This window comes from Homo sapiens, chromosome 19 (genome assembly GCF_000001405.40).
Source record: "Homo sapiens chromosome 19, GRCh38.p14 Primary Assembly".
In the NCBI taxonomy this organism is placed as follows: Eukaryota; Metazoa; Chordata; class Mammalia; order Primates; family Hominidae; genus Homo; species Homo sapiens.
The window spans coordinates 49,008,400-49,034,581 of record NC_000019.10 but is presented as its reverse complement, the minus strand read 5'-3'; the positions used below and the strand labels follow the sequence as shown (position 1 = coordinate 49,034,581).

The following is a 26,182-nucleotide window of genomic DNA, read 5'->3' as shown; positions in this document are numbered from 1 at the left end:
GAGTCTCGCTCTGTTGTTGAGACTGGACTGCAGTGGCGCGATCTCGGCTCACTGCAAGATCCGCCTCCCGGGTTCCTGCCATTCTCCTGCCTCGGCCTCCCAAGTAGCTGGGACTACAGGCGCCCACCAGGACGCCTGGCTAATTTGTTGTATTTTTTAGTAGAGACGGAGTTTCCCCATGTTAGCCAGGATAGTCTTGATCTCCTGACTTTGTGATCCGCCCGTCTCGGCTTCCCAAAGTGCTGGGATTACAGGCATGAACCACTGCGCCAGGCCCAATTTTGTTTGTTTGTTTTGTTGTTTTGGGAAAGGGTGGCATGGAGAAGACTGGGAAACAACCAGTGGTCACCAGAGCTGTAGCACCTCCTTCACCTCTGAGCTCTGGGGCTGGGAACCCCAGGCTTCGGAGGCCACTGTGGAGGACGCAGGTGGCCCCCTCTTTCCTGACATCTCAGGACAGGGAGGGGCAACCGGCTAGGGGAAGAAAAGAACAGGAAGGTTATACAGCCAGGTGGGGAAGGGGCCAAATCCCTGAACAACCCCTTCCCAGAGTTCCTCTTCAAGCGCAGGGTACCCAAGAGTCAAGGCCCCGCCCCCTTTCCAGAGGCCCCTTTTCTACTTAGGTGACGGCTCCTGGCTGGGATGGGAGGTAGATGGACCGGGGGTGGGAGGGGGGGGAGGAGGGGAAGGGAGAGGCAGTGGATGAAGGAGAATGGAAGAGATGACATCCCCCTTGGCCCATTCATCCCATTCAGGTCCCCAAGCCCCCACCTGGACTGCCAGTGCCAACCTCAGAGGGTGGAAGAGGGAGCTCGGCTTAGAATGCTGAGGCCCTGCCCCCTGGGCCACACCAATCGTGTGGCCTTCCTTCTCCCCACGGAAGGCCAGACCATGGACACCTCCTGAGCTGGATGTCATCCCCCATCTCCACCCTCTTTTCTTTTTCTTTCTTTCTTTCTTTTTTTTTTTTTTTTGAGATGGAGTCTCGCTCTGTCGTGCAGGCTGGAGTGCAGTGGCGCGATCTCTGCTCACTGCAACCTCCCGCTCCCAGGTTCACTGCATTCTCCTGCAAGCGCCCGCCACCAAGCCCGGATAACTTTTCGTATTTTTAGTAGAGACGGGGTTTCACCGTGTTAGCCAGGATGGTCTCGATCTCCTGACCTCATGATCCGCCTGCCTCGGCCTCCCAAAGTGGTGGGATTACAGGCGTGAGCCACCACGCCCAGCCGTCCACCCTGTTTTCTACCAGAGTTCTGTACTGTGACTCTGTATAAAATGGTTTGGAAGCTGGACCCACCCTGTGTGTGTGGTTGCCCTGAGCCCACAGAAAGACACCGCCAGAGTGCGGATTGAGAAGCCTTTATTGTGGGAGGATCGGGGTGTCTGAGGGCCCCGGGAGTCGGGATGGGCTTGGAAGGCTGGGGGGAGGGGCCTTTGAGGAAGAGGAGGCCTGGAAGCGGGGGTCATCACAGGTCAAGGGGTGGTCCTTGGGACCCCCGCAGTCAGTGGTGCTGCGGCGGCAGAGTGCACATTGACAGCTGAGAGCCACGGCGTAGGAGACCACGGGGTTCACGCCGCGCGGGCAGCCAGGGAGCCGGATGGACTCGAAGCGCACATCGCGGTAGTTGCACACCACCTGAGGCAGGGCCGGCAGGACCCCCTGCAGCACGCGGGTCTGGAAGCCGTGTGAGTGGGAGAATGAGCATGTGCCTGGGGCCAGCGCCTCAGCTGAGCTCCCCAGCTGCCCCCACAGGTCTCAGACTCAGGGGTCCAGGAAGCCCTCTGTTCCTGCCCTCCCACACCCCATTCCGCAGCCCCTGACCAGAGAGGCAGACCACCCTTCCTCCCCCGCTGCCTCTGTGGGTCTGGCCCTGAGGTGGCAGCACCTGCCCCGGCCCCGGGCAGCTCACCATGGTGGGGCAGTAGCCGGCACAGATGGTGGTGTTGACGGTGATGCACACGGGGCAGCCCTCCTTCTCCACAGCCAGGGTGGCATTGATGGGGCGGCACCGTGGCCGAAGCGGCTCCTTGGATGCCCATGTCCCGCCCATGCTCAGCAGCAGCAACAGCAGCAGCCCCTGGGACAAGGACACTGCTTCACCCGGGTCTGAGACCGCAGCCCCGAGTCCTGGCCTTCCCATCCCGCGTGGTACACCACCCACAAAGACCCAGAGACCCTTCGTGGCATCTCCTATTCAGGACCCACCACCCGGACACCTGCCTTTCAGAGCCCACCCCACAGCCCAGAGGATCTCAGATACCCCAACATTTTAGATCCCCACCCTCAGGAACTGCCCCACCTGAAGCTTACTGGGGGTCACGCTCCTCCAGAAAGAGGCCTCCTTCCACAGCTCACACTGGTCTGCCCCTTCTCATGCCAGTGATGGCCTGGAAGCAGGTGGAAGGTGCCCAGGGGCCCTGCAGTCTTTCCTGGAACATCTCCATCTTTGGTGCCTGGAAATGTCGATCTACCCTACCTTTGACATGTCTCTCTCTTAGCGGGATATCTTCCGCAAGCACTGGGGATGTGGACATGGAAAGTAAATTGAGTCTCCGTGGGGGAGTGAGACAGGGAGTGAGGGGTGTTGGACGCGGCACGGGAACCCGGCCGGAGTCAGCGGACCCAATTGGCTGCTCTCTCTCAGATACAGTTCCCCTTCCTCCCTCCAGGGGGCGCCACGGAACGCAGGGCCCTCACTGGCCCTGGGGACTGGGTGACGTCAGGGGTGAGCCTCTCCTGATTGGCTCCATCACCCTGCGTAAGGTCAAAAGGAAGAAAGGAGATCCCCGACACCCCGAGCTATTGTGGCTCCGACCGGTTGCGCGTGCCCTCGGGCCCTCAGGGAGGGGAGGGTTCGAGGGTACGAGTTCGAGGCCAACCGGGTCCACATTGGTTGAGAAAAAAATTTTTTTATCGTTCCCTATATAATAACAAAACATAAAGGGAGGACGCCTTGATAGGAAGAAATGACATCTTCCTAAGTGTTTTTAAATTACTTCAATGTATCTTTTTTTTTTTTGGGAGACCGAGGCTTGCTCGGTCCTCGGGGGACCTCCCTGCCTGTCAGCCATGGCGGTCGTCACCTGTGGTAAACAGAATGGCGGGAGCAAGTGGGATGTCCCACTACTCGGGCTGAGGCAGGAGAATCACAGGAACCTAGGAGGTGGAACCTCCTCGCCCAGGAGGGGCGCGGCTTCGGACTTAGTTTCTGCCCAATGAGAGAGGGCCTCCCCGTGACTGTGCTGCCAGGTTAGCCACTTGACCCTGGTGCCGCCAACGAGGGATTCAGCCCGAGCCCCACCTCTCCCTTAGGGACCTCTGCCCACTCTACCCTCAAGCCAGGATGCCCGGAGCGGTCCCCGGAAATGCGTGTGCTTCAGGTGATTTAACTGATTATTGAATAGGCCCGCAGGAGGTGTGTCCTGCCCCCGAGGCCTCAGCCTCAGAGGACATTATCTGGACTTAGTCCCTTCCCCGCGATGCCATCAAGCTGGACAATTTTAAGGTCTGTTTCTTTCCCAGTGTAGGGTATAGGTTGGCACAGGGAAGAGGGCTAGAAACCTGACTTGAGCTCCCCGCCCAGGGCTGAACTCTCCAGCATCCTGATCACTTCTCATTGAACCTTGCTTATACTCCCCGTGTGATCGGTAGCTCTTTATCTCAAAACAAAATATTCTAAGCCGACCCCTGCCCACTCTCACCAAGTAAGATTTCTCATTTGAACCCCAGCTCCCAGATACTTAAAGGCCTTCTGTAGACCATGTCCTCAAGGTCCCCTGGCCATCTGCTTGCATGTTCCAGTTTCCCTCCTCCCCCATGCACATCGTGAAATGTGCCCTCCCACTCCCCAGGATGAGCAAGGTGGTGTCCTCTGTGACTGAGCAGTCAGCAACTTAACACCAAAGGTCACCAATGATCAAATCCATGAGAGTTGATCCGAGGAGTTATGTATTAGGGCTACGAAAGAGTAAACACTCAGTAAATAGTGGCTATTATTATTATCATCATCATCATGATTACCCTCAAGTTCCCCTGGGAGAGCTCCTATTCAACCTTCAAAACCCCACGTTGTTGCACCCATCCTACAGAGATTGAGCTCAAATTCAGAGAGTTGTGATTTTGCGATGATTTGATGAGTTCCCCAACTGGGGTCCGTCCGTAGAGCAGCTGGGCCAACCCTGAGGTCTCTCAGCATCCAGCTCTGTTCTTTTTCTGCCTGACCAGTTCCTGGGTATAAGTCTCAGGCCCGGCCAGTCCGGCTGAGGAGTGTGCAGACACAGGCTGTGCCAGTTTGAATCCATCGCCAGTCCACACGGCCCTGGGCATCAGCGGTCAATGCCCGCACATAGGACTGCTTGGCCTTGCACTCAGACACCCAGTGCCCCCCGGTCCACACCCCAGCGGCAGCCCCTCCACCTACCCCTGGGCCACCTTCTTCAGAGTTATCGGCCTTGAAGCAGGTGACAAAGAAGTGTTGGTGGAGGGAACTGCTGCCAGCTGCAGGCACCTCACCCAACACCTCCACCTCGAGCACAACCAAGTCCACAGCGGTCCGGGGGTCTGTCACCCAGACACTGACTGCATCGCACACGGCCAGCTCACCCTGATGACTCGCCGGTGAAGTATCGCTCACCCCTCGCTGGCTGCGGTTGGCCCGGGTGCCTGCTGACTCCCAAAAGGCCCCAGTCTCCAGCAGGAAGACCAGAGGGGGCCCGGCAGCGGCACCCCTAGACAGGACCACTTGGGGGAAAATAAGGTCCCACTCTGGAGGAGGAAAAGGGGACAATGTCAAGGGTGGGGGTTAGGACTCCATTGACACACTGGGGAGGAAGCAAATGAGGGGGATGCAGAGGGAGCCTGGGGGAGCGGGAGCATCTCTCAGAGGACATGGAAACAGGGAAAAGGAGGCTGGGATTAGAGAAGAGGATAAACACTTCAGTGAGGTCAGAAGTTGGGAACCCCAGGGGAGGCCTGCCTGCCAGGATTATGGGGAAGCCCTTGCTCTAGAAGTTTGGGGGACTCCATGTATGGGACTTGCATCACACCCAACTTGTAGATTAATAATAAATATTCAACAACTACAGGTCAGGCACTATGGCTCACACCTGTGGTCCCAGCACTTTGGGAGGCTGAGGCGGGTGTTTGACTTGAGGTCAGGAGTTCAAAAGCAGCCTGGCCAACACTGTGAAACAACATCTCTACTGTTAATACCAAAATTAGCTGGGCGTGGTGCTGCGCTCCTGTAATCCCACCACTTTGGGAGGCCCAGGCGGGCGGATCATGTGGTCAGGGGATCGAGACCTTCCTGGCTAACACGGTGAAACCCCGTCTCTACTAAAAATACAAAAACTTATCTGGGCTTGGTCGCGGGCCCCTGTAGTCCAAGCTACTTGGAAGGCTGAGGCAGGAGAATGGAGTGAACCTAGGAGGGGGAGCTTGCAGTGAGCAGAGATCGCGCCACTGCACTCCAGCCTCCACGACAGAGCGAGACTCCATCTCAAAAAAAAAAAAAAAAAGAAAGAAAGAAAGAAAAAGAAAACAGGGTGGAGATGCAGGATGACCTCCAGCTCAGGAGGTGTCCATGGTCTGGCCTTCTGTGGGGAGAAGGAAGGCCACGTGATCGGTGTGGCCCAGGTGGCAGGGCCTCAGCCTTCTAAGCCGAGCTCCCTCTTCCTCCCTCTGATGTTGGCACTGGCAGTGCAGGTGGGGCGGAGAGGGGCGCGGCTTGGGGACCTGAATGGGATGAATGGGCCGAGGGGGATGTCATCTCTTCCATCCTCCTTCATCCACTGCCTCTCCCTTCCCCTCCTCCCCCCTCCCCTCCGTCCATCTGCCTCCCATCCCAGCTAGGACCCATCACCTGGGTAGAAAAGGGGCCTCTGGAAAGGGGGCGGGGCCTTGACTCTTGGGTACCCTGCACTTGAAGAGGAACTCTGGGAAGGGGTTGTTCAGGGATTTGGCCCCTTCCCCACCTGGCTGTATAACCTTCCTGTGCTTTTCTTCTGCTAGCCGGTTGCCCCTCCCTCTCCTGAGATGTCAGGAAAGAGGGGGCCACCTGCGTCCTCCACAGGGGCCCCGAAGCCTGGGGTTCCCAGCCCCAGAGCTCGGAGGTGGAGGAGGTGCTACAGCTCTGGTGACCACTGGTTGTTTCCCAGTCTTCTCCACGCCAACCTTTCCCAGAACCACAGGCTTCCAGAATGTTGTAGGGAAACTGCAAAATCCGCGCCTCCACCAGCCTCTCCCAGCGCCAGGTCAATTTCACACACAGGGAAACTGAAGCCTGCCTCAGAGGGGCAGCGTTTTACCTCCTTAGTGGCAGTTTTGAGGTGAATCGGGGTCTCCCTAGGATTCCAGGTTGTGCACTTTCTCTAAATTGTGGAATGTGGCCAGGCGTGGTGGCTTGAGTCTGTAGTCCCAGCTACTCAGGAGCCACAGCAGGAGGATGGCTTGAGCCCAGGAGTTCAAGTGCAGTGGGGAAACATAGGGAGACCTCGTCTTAAAGCAATTTGTTTGGGGCCAGGCGTGGTTTCTCAGGCCTATAATCCCAGCACTCTGGGAGGCCAGGGCAGGAGTATCACTGGAGGTTGGGAGTTTGAGACCAGTCTGGCCAATGTTGTGAAACTGCATCTCTACTAAAAATACAAAAATTAGCAGGGCACGGTGGCAGGCGCTTGTAATTCCAGTTACTCAGAAGGCTGAGGCAGGAGAGTCACTTGAACCCAGGAGGCAGGCGCTACAGTGAGCCAGGATTGTGCCACTGTACTCCAGCCTGGCCAGACAGAGTGAGGCTCTGTCTCAAAAAAAAAAAAAAAAAAATTGGGCCGGGTGCAGTGGCTCATGCCTGTAATCCCAGCACTTTGGGAGGCCGAGGCAGGCAGATCACAAGGTCAGGAGATCAAGACCATCCTGGCTAACACGGGGAAACCCCGTCTCTACTAAAAAATACAACAAATTAGCCAGGCATAGTGGTGGGTGCCTGTAGTCCCAGCTACTCGGGAGGCTGAGGCAGGAGAGTGGTGTAAACCCGGGAGGTGGACCTGCAGTTAGCCGAGATCGCGCCACTGCAGTCCAGCCTGGGCGACAAGTGAGACACCCCCTCAAAAAAAAATTGATTGGAACATCCTCCAGGGTGCAAGACCCTCGGTTCCTCAGAGTTCTACAGGAAGGATAGCAGAGTGCAGTTGCCCAGAGGTGAAGTCCCATCTCTGCCATTTGTTGGCTGTGTGACCAGGCACAAATCATTAATTTCTCTGAGCCTGTATTTTACCATCTGTTGCTATTGAGTAATAGTAGTTGAATATTTTCTACTTTTATTTTTATTTTATTTTTATTTTTATTTTTTTTGAGACGGAGTCTGGCCCTGTCACCTAGGCTGGAGTGCAGTGGCGCGCTCTCGGCTCACTACACCTCTGCTTCATGGGTCCAAGCGATTCTCCTGCCTCAGCCTCCTGAGTAGCTGGGAGTACAGGTGCGCACCACCATACCCAGCTAATTTTTGTGTTTTTTTTTTAGTAGAGACAGGGATTCACCATGTTGGCCAGGCTGGTCTCAAAGTCTTGACCTCAGGTGATGCACCCACCTCGGCCTCCCAAAGCGCTGGGATTGCAGGCGTGAACCACTGCACCCGGCCGAACATTTTTATCTTTATTTTATGATTATTATTATTATTTTTTTAAGATGGAGCTTTGTTTTTGTTGCCCAAGCTGAAGTGCAATGGCGCGATCTTGGCTCACTGCAACCTCTGCCTCCTGGGATCAAGTGATTCTCCTGCCTTAGCCTCCCAAGTAGCTGGGATTATAAGCATGCAGCACCACGCTGGAGGATATTTTGTATTTTTAGTAGAGGTGCGGTTTCTCTATGTTGGTCAGGCTGGTCTGGAACTCCTCACCTCAGCTGATCCACCCACTGCAGCCTCCGACAATGCTGGCATTACAAGTGTGAGCCACCATGCCCGGCCTTATTTTTATTTTTATTTTTTTTGTGAGACAGAGTCTCACTCTGTTGTCCAGGCGGAAGTGCAGTGGCACCATCTTGGCTCACTGCAATCTCGGCCTCCCGGGTTCAAGCGATTCTCCTGCCTCAGCCTCCTGAGTAGCTGAGACCACAGGCGTGCAGCACCAGGCCTGGCTAATTTTGGTATTATCAGTAGAGATGTTGTTTCACAGTGTTGGCCAGGCTGCTCTCGAACTCCTGACCTCAAGTCATCCACCCGCCTCAGCCTCCCAAAGTGCTGGGATTACAGGTGTGAGCCATAGTGCCTGACCTGTAGTTGTTGAATATTTATTATTAATCTACAAGTTGGGTGTGATGCAAGTCCTATATATGGAGTCCCCCAAACTTCTAGAGCAAGGGCTTCCCCATAATCCTGGCAGGCAGGCCTCCCCTGGGGTTTCCAACTTCTGACCCCACTGAAGTGTTTATCCTCTTCTCTAATCCCAGCCTCCTTTTCCCTGTCTCCATGTGCTCTGAGAGATGCTCTGAGAGATGCTCCCACTCCCCCAGGCTCCCTCCGCATCCCCCTCATTTTCCTCCTCCCCAGTGTGTCAATGGAGTCCTAACCCCATCCTCGACATTGTCGCCTTTTCCTCCTCCAGAGTGGGACCTTCTTTTCCCCCGAGTGGTCCTGTCTAGGGGTGCCGCTGCCGGGCCCCCTCTGGTCTTCCTGCTGGAGACTGGAGCCTTTCGGGAGTCAGCAGGCGCCCGGGCCAACCGCAGCCAGCGAGGGGTGAGCGATACTTCACCGGCGAGTCATCAGGGTGAGCTGGCCGTGTGCGATGCAGTCAGTGTCTGGGTGACAGACCCCTGGACTGCTGTGGACTTGGGTGTGCTCGAGGTGGAGGTGTTGGGCGAGGTGCCTGCAGCTGTCGGCAGTTCCCTCCGCCAGCACTTCTTTGTTGCCCACTTCGAGGCCGATAAATCTGAGGAAGGTGGCCCGGGGGTAGGTGGAGGGGGCTGCCGCCGGGGTGTGGACCGGGGGGCACTGGGTGTCTGAGTGCAAGGCCAAGCAGTCCTATGTGCGGGCATTGACCGCTGATGCCCAGGGCCGTGTGGACTGGCGATGGATTCAAACTGGCACAGCCTGTGTCTGCACACTCCTCAGCCGGACTGGCCGGGCCTGAGACTTATACCCAGGAACTGGTCAGGCAGAAAAAGAACAGAGCTGGATGCTGAGAGACCTCAGGGTTGGCCCAGCTGCTCTACGGACGGACCCCAGTTGGGGAACTCATCAAATCATCACAAAATCACAACTCTCTGAATTTGAGCTCAATCTCTGCAGGATGGGTGCCACCACATGTGGTTTTGAAGGTTGAATAGGAGCTCTCCCAGGGGAACTTGAGGGTAATCATGATGATGATGATGATGATGATAATAATAATAGCCACTATTTACTGAGTGTTTACTCTTTCGTAGCCCTAATACATAACTCCTCGGATCAACTCTCATGGATTTGATCATTGGTGACCTTTGGTGTTAAGTTGCTGACTGCTCAGTCACAGAGGACACCACCTTGCTCATCCTGGGGAGTGGGAGGGCACATTTCACGATGTGCATGGGGGAGGAGGGAAACTGGAACATGCAAGCAGATGGCCAGGGGACCTTGAGGACATGGTCTACAGAAGGCCTTTAAGTATCTGGGAGCTGGGGTTCAAATGAGAAATCTTACTTGGTGAGAGCAGGCAGGGGTTGGCTTAGAATATTCTGTTTTGAGATAAAGAGCTACCGATCACACGGGGAGTATAAGCAAGGTTCAATGAGAAGTGATCAGGATGCTGGAGAGTTCAGCCCTGGGCGGGGAGCTCAAGTCAGGTTTCTAGCCCTCTTCCCTGTGCCAACCTATACCCTACATTGGGAAAGAAACAGACCTTAAAATTGTCCAGCTTGATGGCATCGCGGGGAAGGGACTAAGTCCAGATAATGTCCTCCGAGGCTTCGGCCCCATGGGCAGGACACACCTCCTGCGGGCCTATTCAATAATCAGTTAAATCACCTGAAGCACACGCATTTCCGGGGACAGCTCCGGGCATCCTGGCTTGAGGGTAGGGTGGGCGGAGGTCCCTAAGGGAGAGGTGGGGCTCGGGCTGAATCCCTCGTTGGCGGCACCAGGGTCAAGTGGCTTCCCTGGCAGCACAGTCACGGGGAGGCCCTCTCTCATTGGGCAGAAACTAAGTCCGAAGCCGCGCCCCTCCTGGGAGGTTGGACTGTGGTGCAGGAAAGCCTCAAGTAGAGGAGGGTTGAGGCTTCAGTCCAGCACCTTTCTCGGGTCACGGCCTCCTCCTGGCTCCCAGGACCCCACCATAGGCAGAGGCAGGCCTTCCTACACCCTACTCCCTGTGCCTCCAGCCTCGACTAGTCCCTAGCACTCGACGACTGAGTCTCTGAGGTCACTTCACCGTGGTCTCCGCCTCACCCTTGGCGCTGGACCAGTGAGAGGAGAGGGCTGGGGCGCTCCGCTGAGCCACTCCTGCGCCCCCCTGGCCTTGTCTACCTCTTGCCCCCCGAGGGGTTAGTGTCGAGCTCACCCCAGCATCCTATCACCTCCTGGTGGCCTTGCCGCCCCCACAACCCCGAGGTATAAAGCCAGGTACACGAGGCAGGGGACGCACCAAGGATGGAGATGTTCCAGGTAAGACTGCAGGGCCCCTGGGCACCTTCCACCTCCTTCCAGGCAATCACTGGCATGAGAAGGGGTCAGACCAGTGTGAGCTGTGGAAGGAGGCCTCTTTCTGGAGGAGCGTGACCCCCAGTAAGCTTCAGGTGGGGCATTTCCTGAAGGTGCGGATCTGAAATGTTGGGGTATCTCAGGTCCTCTGGGCTGTGGGGTGGGCTCTGAAAGGCAGGTGTCCGGGTGGTGGGTCCTGAATAGGAGATGCCGGGAAGGGTCTCTGGGTCTTTGTGGGTGGTGTACCACGCGGGATGGGAAGGCCAGGACTCGGGGCTGCGGTCTCAGACCCGGGTGAAGCAGTGTCCTTGTCCCAGGGGCTGCTGCTGTTGCTGCTGCTGAGCATGGGCGGGACATGGGCATCCAAGGAGCCGCTTCGGCCACGGTGCCGCCCCATCAATGCCACCCTGGCTGTGGAGAAGGAGGGCTGCCCCGTGTGCATCACCGTCAACACCACCATCTGTGCCGGCTACTGCCCCACCATGGTGAGCTGCCCGGGGCCGGGGCAGGTGCTGCCACCTCAGGGCCAGACCCACAGAGGCAGCGGGGGAGGAAGGGTGGTCTGCCTCTCTGGTCAGGGGCTGCGGAATGGGGTGTGGGAGGGCAGGAACAGAGGGCTTCCTGGACCCCTGAGTCTGAGACCTGTGGGGGCAGCTGGGGAGCTCAGCTGAGGCGCTGGCCCCAGGCACATGCTCATTCCCCCACTCACACGGCTTCCAGACCCGCGTGCTGCAGGGGGTCCTGCCGGCCCTGCCTCAGGTGGTGTGCAACTACCGCGATGTGCGCTTCGAGTCCATCCGGCTCCCTGGCTGCCCGCGCGGCGTGAACCCCGTGGTCTCCTACGCCGTGGCTCTCAGCTGTCAATGTGCACTCTGCCGCCGCAGCACCACTGACTGCGGGGGTCCCAAGGACCACCCCTTGACCTGTGATGACCCCCGCTTCCAGGACTCCTCTTCCTCAAAGGCCCCTCCCCCCAGCCTTCCAAGCCCATCCCGACTCCCGGGGCCCTCGGACACCCCGATCCTCCCACAATAAAGGCTTCTCAATCCGCACTCTGGAGGTGTCTTTCTGTGGGCTCAGGGCAACCACACACACACAGGATGGGTCCAGCTTCCAAACCATTTTATACAGAGTCACAGTATGAGAACTCTGGTAGAAAACAGTGTGGGGTCGGGGGATGACATCGCAACTTTACTCTACATTGGGAAAGAAACAGACCTTAAAATTTTCCAGCTTGATGGCCAGGTGCGATGGCTGATGCCTGTAATCCCAGCACTTTGAGAGGCCAAGACAGGCGAATCACCTGAGGTTAGGAGTTCAAGACCAGCCTGGTTAACATGGTGAAACCCCGTCTCTACTAAAATTACATAAAGAAATTAGCTGGGCGTGTAGGCGGGTGCCTGTAATCCCAGCTACTCTGGAGGGTGAGGCAGGAGAATCGCTTGAACCCGGGAGGCGGAGGTTGCAGTGAGCGGAGACTGTGCCATTGCACTCCAGCCTGGGCAAAAAGAGGGAAAGTCCGTCTCAAAAAAAAAAAAAAATTGTCCAGTTTGAGTGGGACATGAGGTTCTGACTAACTCGCCGTCCCCCTGGCTAGGATCAGGGGGTTATTCGTCATTGAGAGCCCTTGAGTAGGGTCAGCAAAATCCAACAGAAGGGCCCCAGAAGCATGATTCAGGGAGGAACAGTAAGTGGGATTGTGGGCCTGGCTGCAGAAGGCAGCCTCAGGTTTCCTTGTCTGAAGAATGGGCTCGTGGGATGAGATAATGAGGGTTGAGGAGGCAGAGGCCTAGACCAAAAGCTATTTTTTTTTTTTTTTTTGAGATGGAGTCTTGCTCTGTCCCCTAGGCTGGAGTGCAGTGGCATGATCTCAGCTCACTGCCACCTTCACCTCCTGAGTTCAAGTGATTCTCCTGCCTTAGTTGGGATTACAGGTGTGCGCCACCATGCCTGGCTACTTTTTATATTTTTCGATAGAGACAGGGTTTTGCCATGTTGGCCAGGCTGGTTTCAAACTCCTAACCTCAAGTTATCTGCCCGCCTCTGCCTCTCAAAGTGCTGGGATTACAGGAGTGAGTCATCGTGCCCGGTGACCAAAAGCTCTATATGGTGAAGAAATGACAAGGGAAGCCAGGGACAGACCACAGGAGTTCACAGTAGCCCTTCACCTATGACCCCTATTACCCATCTCCCTACATGTGTTGCCAACACACAGACATACAGACACACACACACTCACTCTCTCTCTCTCTCTCTGGTCCACAGGACTTCACAATAGCCCTTCACCTATTACCCATCTCCCCACATGTGTTGCCAACACACAGACAGACACACACACACACACACACTCTGTCTCTCTCTCTCTCTCTCTCTTTCTCTCTGTCTGGGACAGACCACAGGACTTCACAATAGCCCTTTACCTATTACCCATCTCCCCACATGTGTTGCCAACACACAGACACAGACACACACACACACTCTCTCTCTCTCACTTTCTCTCCCCCTCTCTCTCTCTCAGGTCCAGCTTTGAGCAAAGGACATAGGCACCCCCTCCACCAATCTGTACAGACCAGGCCCCTCGGCAGGGAGGGGTGTGGCTGCCTCCGTTTCTACATCTCCTTGTTACCATCTCTGATTTTGCTCTTTTTTGCCGCCTTTCTCTCTGTCTCTAACTTCCGGTGGCTCTAGCCTCTGGGTGAGTACTAATAGCTCCGTTTCCAGCGTGGTCTGTGTCTTCCTCCCTGTCTCTCTCCTCTCTTGTATTTCTTTCTCACTCATCAAAGCCCATGTTTTTCGCTATGGTCCGGTGCACTTCTCTGTGGGTGCCTCCCTGTTTCCACACCCCGCCTACCCAGGTGGAACTTTTCAAGCCAATCAAAGGCAGGCAGGACAGCCAATGCTAGTGCTGATTACTTCAGCACGTGCATGCAGGGAGGGTCGGGGAGCCCCGGGGATGTCTGGAAATCGTTACCCTGAGGTGGGCAGGCCTGGTAGAGGGAGGAAGCAGCCAGGAGCATCTGGGCCCTGGAAGAAAGGGGGGTGTTTCTCATGGATGTCCTGAGTTGCTAGGTGCAGCGCAGGGGTCTCTGTCTCTCTGTCTGGATCTCTGACACCTCCAGGTCCCTGTCCCTCTTTTTGGGTTTCTCTCTCCCCCACCCCCTGGGTCTCTGAAATACTGAACTTCTCCTTCCCTTTCCACCCTCCTATCTTTGAGTCTCCATTCCCCCTCCTTGTGTTTCTTTGTACCCCTCTTGGGGTCCCTGTCTCTGGGTCTCTTTCTCATTCCATCCATCCAGGTGCCTGCAGGCCCTTGATTGACTAGGTTCTGGGTGGGCGGGTTCTGTCACCTGGGGCAACAACCACAATAAGCCAGCTCCTGCTTGGCTACGGAGTGGGGGTGGAACCATGGCCAGTGGCACCCTGGCTCCGGGCTGTCGTATCTCTGCAACCGAGGTACCTGGATCCAGGCCCAACTGCCATCTCACCAGCAGCTACTTTTCCCACCGCATTATCCCACCCATACCCTTCACCCCGCCCACGGTGCAGGTGAGCGGACCCTACGCTGCAGCCCTGCCGGGCCTGGAGACCCAGAAAGATAGGGGCTAAATAAAGCGGATTGGGAGCTTGGACTCCTCTCTGAAGGAGGAGGGTCCTGGAGTTCTGGGTCTGAGAGAGGAGGCACCAGGGAAGCTGAATGCCAGGGACTGCAGAGGAAAGGGCTGGGGGCCGACTGGAAGAGGTCAGAGTTTGGGGTGGGGGGTGATAGGGACTCCTGAGTCTTTCTAGCTGATGTGCGGCGCCTTCTCTCCAGTCCACGGTCGCGGACCCTCTACCCCAAGTTGCAAAGCAGGATTCTCACAACTGGGCTTTCGACGAGGTCCTCAGCAGATGGGAGACAACCTCTGGCTCGGCCTACGTGCCCAAGACCCATGGCGGGCCCTGCGCCCAGCCCAGAGCCCCAGAGCCTGCAGACCCCACGCGGACTGTGGGGATCAAGGATTTAGGAGAAAAGGTAAAGTTTGGGGAGTGCCGGAGTCCGCAGGGGACAGGGCGGGGGACTGCATTTGAGTCCCCTGCTCCTTCACGTGAGTCTCTGGGTCGCCTTTCCGCAGCTCAGACACCGCGGCTGGCGCCTCCCACTGACCACAAAGTACCAGAGCAGCGAGACGAGGGCGCAGTACACTGGCTCTCCCAGCGGGGACCCGCGCGCCCCGGAATACTTCGGGCCCCAGCCCCCACAACTCGCAGACCACCACCGCGGGGGTCCTTCCCAGGTGTCTGGGTGGAAGCCGGCGCCGGCGAGACGGGGCGGAGCTCCGGGAGCCTGGGGCGGGGCCAGAAGGAATCACGGCTTTGGGGCGTGGCTAAAGGGTCTGGGGCGGGATCGCGAGGTTAGAGGAGCCGGGGGAGGGGCTGGGCATTAGGCCAGGCCAGAAGGACCAGGGACTACAAACTCACCTTCAGGGCTCCTAAGCTGCTGCGGAGCTAGACGGCGGGCTGTGGGTGGGGAGGAGACTAGAATATTCTGAGACGGGGTCAGGTGGGAGTTGGGAGAGGTAACTTGGAGTTGCTGCCCAAGATGCAGCTCAGCTCCAGTGGCCACACCAAGACGGTTTAAGACAGAGCGGAACCAGGGAGGTTGTTTTTGGTGGCTGGGGGCTTGGGTTTGAGTTCCTTGAACAGCAGAAGGTGCTTGGATTTAGGGAGGTGAGGCTGGGAAGGGTTCGGGTATGAGAAAGGAAGCTGAAGTTCCCTGGCGTGGGTGGCAGGAAGGGCTCTAACCCTGGGGCGGGGTGTGAGGGCCGTGGCCGTCATGGCTGTCGAGGCCGAAGGAGAGGGATTCTGAACTCGGGACCCAGGGCTTGGGATGGGGTATGAAATCTATGTCTTGGGTATGCCTCCTCCCCCAATCTTGCTCAGGCTCTAATTGCCTGGACGAAGAACCCCGAGCTGTCTGGCCGGCCTTTCACAGTATCCGACCGGGGCGTCCTGGACCGCCGCCAGCTCTATCTGACCACCTCGGCGCGGGACTTTCGGTTCTATCCCAAGTAAGCCGGGCTCTCGCTCGGCACCGCCTCCTGCACAGCCCCCGCCGTGGCCGGTGCACGCCGAGCCCCTGGGCTGGCTCCCATTCCCTGAGCCGGTGGTCTCAGCCTCGACTTCTGTAGCAGCAAGAACCAAAGTTCAGGCCTCAGCCCCTCCCTTTTTTTTTTAAGCACCCAGGAGTCCTTAGTGTCACCTCTCAGGAACCGCGGTAGGGACAGGAAGCCTGCACAGCGGCTCGAGGGGATTCCGGATCTGAGGGCAGGGCCTCCTTCGGTACTTGAGCCCCCAGATACTCCTTCCCAAGGAAGCGAAAGTCCCCTTTTACTTCCCTAGGATGCGAAAGCTCAGTTTCCAGGACGTTAAGTACCTCGAGGACCCAGGAACGCAGGCAACGCGTGCCGGGTCGCGTCCTTCCTAAGGGGTGCTCGCCTGGAAATGCAGGAGTTTGAATGTGCAGACTCCTTAGATCCCGAGGTCTGAAACTCGTCCCCAAGGATCCAGCTGTATCCTCACCATCCCGCCCTGCTCCCACAGGACGGAGCTGTCCGGATACCCCCGCAAGGACTCCCTGACCTACTGGAGCTTCGAAGAGACGCCCCAGGTCTGGAGCCACGGCCCGCAGCGGCCGCCCTGTCCGCGCTCCTCCCGGCCGCCCCGACCACCGCGGGTCCGCGTGCCGCGCGTCAGCCCGGTGACCTCGGCCATGCCGCACCGGGGAGCCCTGTCTCTGGCTCAGGAGTCCTACAGCCCCCTGCTGCACCCGCTCCGGCGGCTCGACCGCTTCTGCCCGCTGGAGGCGCCCTGGGGCGGCCCGCACTGGAAGCCCCTGCGGGGCATCTACAGCGTGCCGAAAGCCTACAGTACCGAGAACTCCAGCTATGGCAGCTTGAAGCCGGCGCTGGTGTGAGCCGTCAGGGCCAGCCCCACCCCAGACCCGCCCCCAGGGCCGCGCTGCCGAGCGGAGCTCGGGACCTCCGCTCACTAGGAAGGGTTCCGGACCCAGCCTGAGTCGCACTCATTACGTCTATTGGCAACGTGGGGGCGGGACTAGCCCAGACACCCACTCAGCTGCGGCATCACGGAGAGGGGACTAAGTCCAGATAATGTCCTTGCAGGCTGTGGCCCCGGGGGCAAGACACGCACCCTGCGGGCGTATTAAATAATGAGTTAAATCACCTGAACCACACCCACTTCCGGGGACGCTCCGGGCATCCTGGCTTGAGGGTAGGGTGGGCGGAGGTCCCTAAGGGAGAGGTGGGGCTCGGGCTTAATCCCTCCTTGGGGGCATCTGGGTCAAGTGGCTTCCCTGGCAGCACAGTCACGGGGAGACCCTCTCTCACTGGGCAGAAGCTAAGTCCGAAGCAGCGCCCCTCCTGTTAGGTTGGACTGTGGTGCAGGAAAGCCTCAAGTGGAGGGTTGAGGCTTCAGTCCAGCACCTTTCTCGGGTCATGGCCTCCTCCTGGCTCCCAAGACCCCACAATTGGCAGAGGCAGGCCTTCCTACACCCTACTCCCTGTGCCTCCAGGCTCGACTAGTCCCTAGCACTCGACAACTGGGTCTCTGAGGTCACTTCACCGTGGTCTCTGCCTCACCTCTGGCGCTAGACCACTGAGGGGAGAGGGCTGGGGCGCTCTGCTGAGCCACTCCTGCGCCTCCCTGGCCATGTGCACCTCTCGCCCCCGGGGGGATTAGTGTCCAGGTTACCCCAGCATCCTATCACCTCCTGGTGGCCTTGCCGCCCCCACAACCCCGAGGTATATAGCCAGATACACGAGGCAGGGGATGCACCAAGGATGGAGATGCTCCAGGTAAGACTACAGGGCCCCTGGGCACCTTCCACCTCCTTCCAGGCCATCACTGGCATGAGAAGGGGCAGACCCGTGTGAGCTGTGGAAGGAGGCCTCTTTCTGGAGGGGCATGACCCCCAGTAAGCTTCAGGTGGGGCAGTTCCTGAGGGTGGGGATCTGAAATGTTGGGGCATCTCAGGTCCTCTGGGCTGTGGGGTGGGCTCTGAAAGGCAGGTGTCCGGGTGGTGGGTCCTGAATAGGAGATGCCGGGAAGGGTCTCTGGGTCTTTGTGGGTGGTGTACCACGCGGGATGGGAAGGCCAGGACTCGGGGCTGCGGTCTCAGACCTGGGTGAAGCAGTGTCCTTGTCCCAGGGGCTGCTGCTGTTGCTGCTGCTGAGCATGGGCGGGGCATGGGCATCCAGGGAGCCGCTTCGGCCATGGTGCCACCCCATCAATGCCATCCTGGCTGTCGAGAAGGAGGGCTGCCCAGTGTGCATCACCGTCAACACCACCATCTGTGCCGGCTACTGCCCCACCATGGTGAGCTGCCTGGGGCCAGGGGCAGATGCTGCCACCTCAGGGCCAGACCCACAGAGGCAGCGGGGGAGGAAGGGTGGTCTGCCTCTCTGGCCTGCGGTTGGGGAATGGGGTGTGGGAAGGCAGGAACAGAGGGCTTCCTGGGCTCCTGAGTCCAGGACCTGTGGGGTCAGCTTGGGAGCTCAGCTGAGGCGCTGGCCTCAGGCACATGCTCATTCCCCCACTCACACGGCCTCCAGATGCGCGTGCTGCAGGCGGTCCTGCCGCCCCTGCCTCAGGTGGTGTGCACCTACCGTGATGTGCGCTTCGAGTCCATCCGGCTCCCTGGCTGCCCGCGTGGTGTGGACCCCGTGGTCTCCTTCCCTGTGGCTCTCAGCTGTCGCTGTGGACCCTGCCGCCGCAGCACCTCTGACTGTGGGGGTCCCAAAGACCACCCCTTGACCTGTGACCACCCCCAACTCTCAGGCCTCCTCTTCCTCTAAAGACCCTCCCCGCAGCCTTCCAAGTCCATCCCGACTCCTGGAGCCCTGACACCCCGATCCTCCCACAATAAAGGCTTCTCAATCCGCACTCTGGAGGTGTCTTTCTGTGGGCTCAGGGCAACCACACATACACAGGGTGGGTGCAGCTTCCCAACCATTTTATACAGAGTCACAGTGTCAGAACTCTGGTGGAAAACAGGGTGGGGTCGGGGGATGACATCCAACTCAGGAGGTGTCCATGGTCTCGCCTTCTGTGGGGAGAAGGAAGGCCACATGGTCAGTGTCGCCCAGGTGGCAGGGCCTGAGCCTTCTACGCCGAGCTCCCTCTTCCTCCCTCTGAGGTTGGCTCTGGCAGTGCAGGTGCGGGGTGGGGATTCTTACTGAGTTCGTTGAAGAGGAAGGCGTCCTGGTACTCCTTCATGTACTGCGTGGAGCGGGACTCGTCCAGGAAGAGTGAGTAGACCCGCTTGATGTCATCCACCTGCACTTCTGTACCCTGGAGGGGGAGGGCGAGTCCTCAGTTGGGCCCCTCTCCGTGAGGCTCAAGGCACAGACCCCAGCGTATGCCACCTCCATGCTCTAGGCAGCAGAGTGTGGCATGTGAGGGGAGGGCATTCTGGGCCAGATTGCCTGGGTTCAAATCCTGCCTGGCCATCTCCTTGTTGTGGGCCCAGCCTCTTCATTCCTCAGTTTCTTTATCTGTAAGGTGGACCTAACAGCATCTACTTAAGTCAAGAGAGATTTACTGATACCTACTATAGGCCAGGCTGGATGATACAGAAGCCAACCTGAGGGATGAAAATTCCCTGCGTCTGAAAACGTACATTCTAGGATGAAATCGGAACCCTGGAAGCCCCTGAAGTACTGTGTCACTCACTGCCGCCATCTGGCCCTGCTGGCTAATTCGGCCGGCTGACCTTGCGTTTCCGGCACACCAAGCTGGCAGCTGTGATGAGCTGGATGGCGTAGCGCAGTGACGTCTCCAGCCCGATGCGGGTCAGCACCGTGTAGGCGTCCTCACTCATCTCCACATCTTCTTCCTCGCACCTGCAAGCAGTGGGGGACAGGGGTGGCTCAGCCGGGGCCCAGCCTCTGACTGCAGCAGAAGTGGCCACAGCAACCCTCTGGCCCTTCCCCACTGGGAATATGTGGCGCCTGCATCTTAGAACCATAGAATGCTGAGGCTAGAAGAGCCACGGAGACAGGGGCTGGGCTGGACCTAAAACCGAGGCCTCCTGACCACCCCCAGGGCGCTGGCCCCAACACCAGTCACGGGTACCTCGCCTCCCTTTCCCACCGTGGCTCCTGCTCCCGGATCGGAGGCCACCGTCTGGGTGCCCGCTCAGCCCTCTCTCCTGTAGGCCCAGCCACCATGCCACTCCGCTGGACCTCAGTGTCAGCATTTGTCAAACAGGGTAGACCCCAGCCCTGCGTCTCAGGCGCACGGCCTGGTCCTGCCCGCACCGGATGCGGAGGATCTGCTTCGTGTCTTTCTCGCTGTAGGGGGTGGTGGAGACGATAAGCAGCCGGTCCAGCAGGTCTATGGGGATGCCGTGAGGGCTCTGGTAGCTGGTGCCCCGGATTCTGAGGAAGAGGCAGAAAGAGGGGGCTGTCAGGGGCATGTTCCCTCTTCATTCCCTTTGCTGGGAACACTCTCACCTCCCATCGCCACCCACTCACTGGGCCCAACACCACTTAACCTTTAGCTCGCGTCTCCTGTCACATGATGACATCACCCCTGATGACGCAGCCTTCCACAGCTGCGTCAGTCCCCCAAGGGCACCTTTCCGCGGAGCTGGGCTGCTTTAAGCTAGATCTCTGCCTCCAGGATTACTGGATCAAGGTCCCACTCCCGTGCTCGACACAAAGCTTCACAAAGGAGGGGACTGCACCTGTCTTGTTCCCTGCTGCAGCGGGGCCAGCCCAGGGCTGGTGCCAGGGGATACAGTCAGTTCCCCTTATTCACAGTAGTGAGGTTCTAGAAAGTCATCGTGAACACTCCAATTAGCTGATCCTGAGCCACTGCTCCTACTGGAATACAGGGTTAGGCTCTCTCGAGCCTCGGCTTACAGTATTTTCATCAATCCATATATATATAATCTGGGTCTATGCGTATTTTCATTTGTGTGTTTCTGGTCTTTTTGGTTTGTTTTTTGAGACGGAGTCTCGCTCTGTTGCGAGGCTGGAGTGCAGTGGCGCGATCTCGGCTCACTGCAACCTCCGCCTCCCGGGTTCAACCGATCCTCCTGCCTCAGCCTCCCAAGTAGCTGGGTCTACAGGCGCACGCCATCACGCCCAGCTAGTTTTTTCTATTTTTAATACAGACAGGGTTTCACCATGTTGGCCGGGACGGTCTCATTCTCTTGACCTCGTGATCCACCCACCTCGGCCTCCCAAAGTGCTGGGATTACAGGTGTGAGCTACCGCGCCTGGCCTCATGTATGTGTGTTTCTATTTCCATGTGTTTGTTATGTAACATCACTGTTTATTCTCTAACATGGAGCTCGTGTCAACAGCATTCTAACTTGGGCTCAGCGAAGCGTCTGTAACATGGCATTTTCTCCGTCAGGCTTCACAGCCTCCTTGCACTTAGGATACTAGACAGCACTTCAACACTGTGCACAGGGGACACTTTAAATGGCAATATCACCAACAAATGGCCCCAAAAAGTTTAAAAAAAAAAGGCACAAAAAAAGTGACAACACTTTGGGAGGCTGAGGCGGGTGGATTGCTTGAGCCCAGGAGTTTGAGACCAGCCTGGGCAACATGGCAAAACACCATCTCTACAAAAAAAAAAAAAAAATTAGGCCGGACGCGGTGACTCACCCCTGTAATCTCAACACTTTGGGAGGCTGAGGTGGGCAGATCACGAGGTCAGGAGTTCGAGACCAGCCTGGCCAATATGGTGAAACCCTGTCTCTACTAAAAATACCAAAATTAGCTGGGCATGGTGGCGGGTGCCCATAATCCCAGCTACTCAGGAGGCTGAGGCAGGAAAACTGCTTGAACCCAGAAGGCAGAGGTTGCAGTGAGCCGAGATCGTGCCACTGCACTCCAGCCTGGTGACAGAGCTAGACTCCGTCTCAAAACAAAAACAGAAATTAGCTAGGCATAGTGGTGCATGCCCGTGGTCCCAGCTGATGAGGAGGCTGAGGCCAGAGGACTGATTGAGTCCCAGGGGTGGTGTGTGTGTGTGTGTGTGTGTGTGTGTGTGTGTGTGTGTGGTGGGCACTGAGGCTGCAGTGTGCCATGATCGTGCCTCTGCACTCCAGCCTGGGCGACAGAGCAAGACCCTGTCTCAAAGAACAAAAGTGACAAACGTAGCACTAAATAGAATACAACAAGGACACTTATTTACAGCATGAGCGCTAAGGGAGCAGGCAGTGTTGCCTCGTTCACACTCAGCTGGGAAAGTGGGTGTCAGGTGACTTGAATTTGTTGCCGAAAGCAGGGCAGATATTTATTTGGGGATTACAAATAAATCTTAGCAAGCGAGATTCTCAGATACAGAGTCTACGAACAATCAGGGCTGCCCGTAGCTGCTGCCTCCCACAGGAGGTGCCCCTGGGCAGTCCCCAGGCCCTGACCTGCAGTTTCTGTGAAAACACCATCAGCCCTGGGGGTCTCTTCCAGTGTCCAGCCATCCAGAGACCAAATTACGGCCCTGCTACCTTCTAGACTTGTGACCTGGGCAAGTCACTGGGCCTCACTGTCCTGCCCTATAAAATGGGGCTGAGGTGATATCTACCTTCTGAGCTTCTTCTGCGGATCCAAGGAGTTAAAAGAGCCAAACACAGAGCCAGGCCCAGCGGCCCAGCATCCTCTGTAGGGTGCCCGCTTCTTCCCTTTTGTGATGCCCATCCCAACCGCCCAGTTTCAGCTGGGCCCAAGGCTGCAGGGCTGGAGCTGACAGTACCCAGCCTTCTTTGCCACCAGGTACAGCACTGAGCCCAAGCAGTGCCGGGCAATGGAATGGGGGTGCAAGGTTGGGGTGCAGCCTGTGGATCACAGCCTATGGGGGCTGCCTGCCCTCCACATCCCCCTGCTTCCTGCGGGCCAAAATGTGGCGAGGTGGAGAAGACAGCCAGCGGGCATGGTGGCAGGTGCCCGTAATCCCAGCTACACAGGGTGCTGGCAACACCTGGGAGACGAGGTTCCCAGGCTTCAGCACAGCACAGTACCCTCTGTGTCACAGGAATCTGTCCCCGGCATCCTCAGGCCAAACACAACATTAAGAGTTCCCCGTGCACAGGGTGCTGGCAACACCTGGGAGATGAGGTTCCCAGGCTTCAGCAGAGCACGGTACCCTCTGTGTCATGGGAATCTGTCCCTGGCATCCTTAGGCCAAACACAACGCTAAGAGTTCTGTTAATGGAGTTGCTGGGTCGAAGTGACTGAACAATCGTAGTTTATGTTATGTCTAACAGATGTCACTGTGCTTCCCTCAAGACTAGAAAACATCCCACAGCACTCCTGTGAGTTTCCTGCAGCACCCTGGGGTGCCTCGGCACGCAGTTTGAAGACTGCAGCCTTGGGGGCTAAAGGAGCAGCAAGACAGAAAGGCAGCAAGAACACAGTCTCTGGGCTTCCTCGGGAAGCAGAGCTGCCTCCCACCCGCCTTTTGTAAGCAAAGAGCGCACACTGCAGTCACGCGTCCCTCCCTGACCCGGTGTCAACACAGGCTCCCATTGACCCTCTGACCACACCCACTGCCCAGAGCATCCTGTTTTCCCCAGAGGCCCCTGTAGCCGGCTCACCGCGTGATGCCACGGTTGGTGGCCATGATCAGGACAGGCGCCATGTCACTCTCCAGGGCCCGGTTGAGGAAGGAGAAGCTCTCGATGTCCAGCATGTGGACCTCGTCGATGAACAGCACCTTGGATTGGGGTGTGTGTGAGAGTCACCACCCGCGTCCCCACTTCCCCGGCCCACCTCCACCCCACCACCCGCCCCGGCCATGTCCTGGGTCCTCACTCCAGGGATGATCTCCGCCTTGCCCTCCTCGCGCCACTCAGCCACCTTGGCATTGATCTGCTCACGGACTTCTGACTTGATCTCCCCTGTGTCACCTATGGGAGGCACAGGTTGCATCAGGGAAGCCAGAGAGGAGGCGGGTTCCAGGGCCAGAGTGTGGCTAAGACAGAGAAGGATGATGCCAGGGATGGAGGAAGGGGAGCAAAGCAAGGAGGGATGAGGAGCCTGAAACATCCCCAAAGAGGAGGAACAGAGGCAGAGAACACAGGAGGGGAGAGGGCAGGGCCACACCCATCACAGCACCAGCAGGGGTGGGGACGGAGCGGACTTGCAGGTGGAGAACAGAGGCAGCCACGGGCCGGAGTTACAGGAAACAGCGTGGAGCAGGTGGGCCACACTCGGAGCTCAGGAACAGAGGGAGCCCGAGGGAGGCTGCTAGGCCTGGGGCAGGGCAGGGCAGGGCAGGGCAGGAGGGGCCTCACCTGAGAAGAGCGCCAGGAAGCCCTGGGTGCGAGAGTTGATGACGTCGATCTCGTGCAGGGACACGGTGTGCACCACCTCCTTGCGTTTCTGGAGCTCCCCATCTGGGCACTGCACGAACTTGGTCTATGGGGCGGGGGTGGGGGAAGAACGGCGGAGACAGGGCAGGGAAGGGCATGAAGGGGGCCCCTAAAGCCCTCTGTCTGGGGGAGACTGGAGCTCCAGGAAATGGAGCTGGGAGGCTAAATGGGGTCATCTGGAAACCCCAGGCCCAGGAGGTAGTCAGGACTAGGGACATTCCAGAGCGCTGAGGGTCACGGGGGCTCCCGGAGGACCTTAGAAGCCACAGGCCACATGTGGCCATGCGAAGCTATAGTGCCAGGCTGAGGGGCCCTGCTGTCCTAGGGTTACAGGGAAGACCCAGGAGTACCAGGACAAACAGTCAGGGTAACAGGAAGATCCAGACCCCATGGGTCAAGGGGGTGATGGAGGAGATGAAAACACCCCAGTGCTGGGGGCGAGGGGATCCCGGGAGTCCCGGCCGCACCTGGGAGCCCATAGCGTCGTAGTCGCGGGCGCGTGTGAAGGAGCGGCCCAGCTTGGAGATCTTGCCCGTCGCCTTGTCGATGGTGATCACGTCCCTACAGGGGGATGGGGGGTAGGGTAAGGAAAGGAATGGGCCCAAGCTCGCCCATCCCCCTGGCTGCCTGGCATGGCCCCTGACTGCTCACCCGGCCTGGACCTTGTCCTTGGTCAGGGACTCAATCATCTTGGTGCCCAGGTCGTAGATGGTCTCCATCTCTGTGGTCTTGAGGGTCAGTTTGCCCACCTTGGAGCCCTGAGAGTGGGGACAAGCCAGGGATGGGGCTCAGAGAGGGCCCTGATGTTGCCCCAGTGCCCCCAGTGTTGATAAGCTTCTGGCTCTGCTCTGGCCTCTGCTTCCACAGCTTCAAAATGGGCACAACACAAGGAAGCTCTCCAGGGAAGACATACGGTGCGCTCACCAGCCTGACGCGGTGATGGCTCCGCGGCTGAACATGTATGTCCCAACGGACCATACTGGACACTTGCAATGTGTACAGCTTTCTGTATGTCAATTAAAACTCAATAAAGTTCTTTTTTTTTTTGAGACGGAGTCTTGCTCTGTCGCCCACGCTGGAGTGTAGTAGCATGATCTCGGCTCACTGCAAGCTCTGCCTCCCGGGTTCACGCCATTCTCCTGCCTCAGCCTCCCGAGTAGCTGGGACTACAGGCGCCCGCCACCACGCATGGCTAATTTTTGTATTTTTAGTAGAGATGGGGTTTCACTGTGATAGCCAGGATGGTCTCGATCTCCTGACCTTGTGATCTGCCCACCTCGGCCTCCCAAAGTGCTGGGATTACAGGAGTGAGCTACTGCGCCTGGTGAATAAAGCTCTTTTTTTTTTTTTTTTTTTTTTTTTTTTTTTTTTTTGAGATAGAGTCTTGCTCTGTCGCCCAGGCTGGAGTGCAGTGGTGTGATCTCAGCTCACTCCAACCTCCATCTCCCGGGTTCAAGTAGTTCTCCTGCCTCAGCCTCCCAAGTAGCTGGGATTACAGATGTGTGCCACCATACCCAGCTAATTGTTTTGTGTTTTTATTATTTATTTATTTTTGAGATGGAGTTTCGCTCTTGTTGCCCAGGCTGGAGTGCAATGGTGTGATCTCGGCTTACTGCAACTTCTGCCTCCCAGATTCAAGCGATTCTCCTGCCTTAGCCTCCCAAGTAGCTGGGATTACAAGCACCCACCACCACGCCCAGCTAATTTTTTGTATTTTTAGTAGAGACAGGGTTTCACCATGTTGGTCAGGCTGGTCTTGAACTCCTGACTTCAGGTGATCCACCCGCCTCGGCCTCCCAAAGTGCTGGGATTATAGGCATGAACCACCGCGCCCAGCCATTTTGTATTTTTAGTATAGACAGGGTTTCACCATGTTAGTCAGGCTCGTTTCGAACTCCTGATCTCAAGTGATCGCCCACCTCAGCCTCCCAAAGTGCTGGGATTACAGGTGTGAGCCACTGCGCCTGGCCAAAACTCAATAAAGCTCTTAATAAAAATAGTAAACAGGCAGGGTGCAGTGGCTCACACCTGTAATCCCAGCACTTTGGGAGGCCGAGGCGGGCAGATCACAAGGTCAGGAGATCGAGACCACAGTGAAACCCCGTCTCTACTAAAAATACAAAAAATTAGCCGG

The 26,182-nt window shown here is 57.5% G+C and overlaps 5 protein-coding genes, 1 long non-coding RNA gene, 2 other non-coding genes and 2 pseudogenes across 14 annotated transcripts in view, besides 7 other annotated features; 5 read left to right on the top strand and 5 right to left on the bottom strand.

The window, feature by feature from the left end:
* Nucleotides 1-1,343: 1,343 nt before the first annotated feature.
* On the bottom strand, nt 1,344-2,692 carry CGB2 (chorionic gonadotropin subunit beta 2). 2 transcript variants are annotated; one of them, NM_001319065.2, is made up of 3 exons: nt 2,312-2,692; nt 1,911-2,078; nt 1,344-1,675 (listed from the first exon to the last, which is right to left on the bottom strand). In NM_001319065.2, the coding sequence occupies exons 2-3, from the start codon at nt 2,049-2,051 to the stop codon at nt 1,361-1,363; spliced, it is 456 nt and encodes a 151-aa protein (NP_001305994.1). In that variant the 5' UTR covers nt 2,052-2,078; nt 2,312-2,692; the 3' UTR covers nt 1,344-1,360. The 2 variants fall into 2 exon arrangements, with proteins under 2 accessions (NP_001305994.1, NP_203696.2); NM_033378.2 differs by having other exon boundaries at nt 2,478-2,692.
* A 102-nt stretch (nt 2,693-2,794) lies between these two features.
* On the top strand, nt 2,795-2,913 carry SNAR-G2 (small NF90 (ILF3) associated RNA G2). The gene has a single exon (NR_024244.1). It is a non-coding gene; the product is annotated as a small NF90 (ILF3) associated RNA G2 (small nuclear RNA).
* On the bottom strand, nt 3,985-4,878 carry NTF6G (neurotrophin 6 gamma (pseudogene); annotated as a pseudogene).
* Nucleotides 8,472-9,386, top strand: NTF6A (neurotrophin 6 alpha (pseudogene); annotated as a pseudogene).
* CGB3 (chorionic gonadotropin subunit beta 3) lies at nt 10,249-11,713 on the top strand. Its single transcript, NM_000737.5, has 3 exons — nt 10,249-10,625; nt 10,979-11,146; nt 11,382-11,713. Exons 1-3 carry the CDS (start codon nt 10,611-10,613, stop codon nt 11,694-11,696), a joined length of 498 nt encoding a protein of 165 aa, NP_000728.1. The 5' UTR covers nt 10,249-10,610; the 3' UTR covers nt 11,697-11,713.
* Nucleotides 11,714-11,766: 53 nt separating this feature from the next.
* Nucleotides 11,767-14,489, bottom strand: LOC124904738 (uncharacterized). Its single transcript, XR_007067288.1, has 2 exons — nt 13,908-14,489; nt 11,767-13,685 (listed from the first exon to the last, which is right to left on the bottom strand). It is a non-coding gene; the product is annotated as an uncharacterized LOC124904738 (long non-coding RNA).
* Nucleotides 13,307-13,456: an enhancer, noted in NCBI's record as "active region_14924". NCBI's record gives its function as "activates an Ori minimal core promoter by ATAC-STARR-seq in GM12878 lymphoblastoid cells {active_cell/tissue: GM12878}" and the evidence as "EXISTENCE:reporter gene assay evidence [ECO:0000049][PMID:35858748]".
* SAXO3 (stabilizer of axonemal microtubules 3) lies at nt 14,033-16,614 on the top strand. 2 transcript variants are annotated; one of them, NM_001396011.1, is made up of 5 exons: nt 14,033-14,207; nt 14,473-14,673; nt 14,774-14,935; nt 15,582-15,709; nt 16,242-16,614. In NM_001396011.1, the coding sequence occupies exons 1-5, from the start codon at nt 14,067-14,069 to the stop codon at nt 16,612-16,614; spliced, it is 1,005 nt and encodes a 334-aa protein (NP_001382940.1). In that variant the 5' UTR covers nt 14,033-14,066. The 2 variants fall into 2 exon arrangements, 1 of the variants encoding a protein (NP_001382940.1); NR_173107.1 differs by lacking the exons at nt 14,033-14,207; nt 14,473-14,673; nt 14,774-14,935 and adding an exon at nt 15,084-15,368.
* On the top strand, nt 15,084-18,602 carry LHB (luteinizing hormone subunit beta). Of its 2 annotated transcripts, NM_000894.3 has the most exons (3): nt 17,491-17,515; nt 17,868-18,035; nt 18,272-18,602. In NM_000894.3, the coding sequence occupies exons 1-3, from the start codon at nt 17,501-17,503 to the stop codon at nt 18,512-18,514; spliced, it is 426 nt and encodes a 141-aa protein (NP_000885.1). In that variant the 5' UTR covers nt 17,491-17,500; the 3' UTR covers nt 18,515-18,602. The 2 variants fall into 2 exon arrangements, with proteins under 2 accessions (XP_047294788.1, NP_000885.1); XM_047438832.1 differs by having other exon boundaries at nt 15,084-18,035.
* Nucleotides 15,743-16,666: an enhancer, noted in NCBI's record as "H3K27ac-H3K4me1 hESC enhancer chr19:49521173-49522096 (GRCh37/hg19 assembly coordinates)". NCBI's record gives its function as "activates a minimal SCP1, AML or CMV promoter by ChIP-STARR-seq in naive H9 embryonic stem cells {active_cell/tissue: H9 hESC(naive)}" and the evidence as "EXISTENCE:reporter gene assay evidence [ECO:0000049][PMID:30033119]".
* Nucleotides 15,743-16,770: a biological region, named in NCBI's record as "Sharpr-MPRA regulatory region 164".
* Nucleotides 16,310-16,499: a silencer, noted in NCBI's record as "silent region_10911". NCBI's record gives its function as "represses an Ori minimal core promoter by ATAC-STARR-seq in GM12878 lymphoblastoid cells {active_cell/tissue: GM12878}" and the evidence as "EXISTENCE:reporter gene assay evidence [ECO:0000049][PMID:35858748]".
* Nucleotides 16,476-16,770: an enhancer, noted in NCBI's record as "tiled region #164; K562 Activating DNase unmatched - State 4:PromP". NCBI's record gives its function as "activates a minimal TATA promoter and a strong SV40 promoter by Sharpr-MPRA in K562 cells {active_cell/tissue: K562}" and the evidence as "EXISTENCE:reporter gene assay evidence [ECO:0000049][PMID:27701403]".
* The window catches only part of RUVBL2 (RuvB like AAA ATPase 2), a 22,548-nt gene continuing 14,952 nt past the window's right edge, over nt 18,587-26,182 (bottom strand). For 2 of the 4 annotated variants that reach the window (NM_001321190.2, NM_006666.3), the window contains exons 7-15: nt 24,700-24,806; nt 24,516-24,609; nt 23,971-24,094; nt 23,489-23,583; nt 23,272-23,390; nt 19,979-20,098; nt 19,432-19,561; nt 18,896-19,010; nt 18,612-18,765 (exon numbers count right to left, since the gene is read on the bottom strand). In NM_001321190.2, coding sequence (NP_001308119.1) covers nt 18,740-18,765; nt 18,896-19,010; nt 19,432-19,561; nt 19,979-20,098; nt 23,272-23,390; nt 23,489-23,583; nt 23,971-24,094; nt 24,516-24,609; nt 24,700-24,806 — 930 coding nt within the window. In that variant the 3' untranslated portion in view covers nt 18,612-18,739. Of the gene's footprint in view, nt 18,766-18,895; nt 19,011-19,431; nt 19,562-19,978; nt 20,099-23,271; nt 23,391-23,488; nt 23,584-23,970; nt 24,095-24,515; nt 24,610-24,699; nt 24,807-26,182 lie in introns of all 4 variants that reach the window. The other 2 variants (NM_001321191.1, NR_135578.2) reach the window with 2 other exon arrangements.
* Nucleotides 22,644-22,818: a silencer, noted in NCBI's record as "fragment chr19:49515021-49515195 (GRCh37/hg19 assembly coordinates)". NCBI's record gives its function as "represses an EF-1alpha promoter that drives an FKBP-Casp9 reporter gene in an ReSE screen in phorbol 12-myristate 13-acetate-treated (for megakaryocytic differentiation) K562 erythroleukemia cells {active_cell/tissue: K562(+PMA)}" and the evidence as "EXISTENCE:reporter gene assay evidence [ECO:0000049][PMID:32094911]".
* MIR6798 (microRNA 6798) lies at nt 24,610-24,676 on the bottom strand. The gene has a single exon (NR_106856.1). It is a non-coding gene; the product is annotated as a microRNA 6798 (primary transcript).
* Nucleotides 24,641-25,142: an enhancer, noted in NCBI's record as "H3K4me1 hESC enhancer chr19:49512697-49513198 (GRCh37/hg19 assembly coordinates)". NCBI's record gives its function as "activates a minimal SCP1, AML or CMV promoter by ChIP-STARR-seq in primed H9 embryonic stem cells {active_cell/tissue: H9 hESC(primed)}" and the evidence as "EXISTENCE:reporter gene assay evidence [ECO:0000049][PMID:30033119]".

Coding starts and splice junctions, on each gene's coding strand:
- CGB2 (NM_033378.2), bottom strand. Junction 1,676..1,910: donor CCGGCTACTGCCCCACCATG/GTGAGCTGCCCG, acceptor CACGGCTTCCAG/ACCCGCGTGCTGCAGGGGGT.
- CGB3 (NM_000737.5), top strand. Junction 11,147..11,381: donor CCGGCTACTGCCCCACCATG/GTGAGCTGCCCG, acceptor CACGGCTTCCAG/ACCCGCGTGCTGCAGGGGGT.
- SAXO3 (NM_001396011.1), top strand. CDS start 14,067: ATGGCCAGTGGCACCCTGGCTCCGGGCTGTCGTATCTCTGCAACCGAG. Junction 14,674..14,773: donor TCAAGGATTTAGGAGAAAAG/GTAAAGTTTGGG, acceptor GCCTTTCCGCAG/CTCAGACACCGCGGCTGGCG. Junction 14,936..15,581: donor ACCGCGGGGGTCCTTCCCAG/GTGTCTGGGTGG, acceptor AATCTTGCTCAG/GCTCTAATTGCCTGGACGAA.
- LHB (XM_047438832.1), top strand. CDS start 17,805: ATGGGAAGGCCAGGACTCGGGGCTGCGGTCTCAGACCTGGGTGAAGCA. Junction 18,036..18,271: donor CCGGCTACTGCCCCACCATG/GTGAGCTGCCTG, acceptor CACGGCCTCCAG/ATGCGCGTGCTGCAGGCGGT.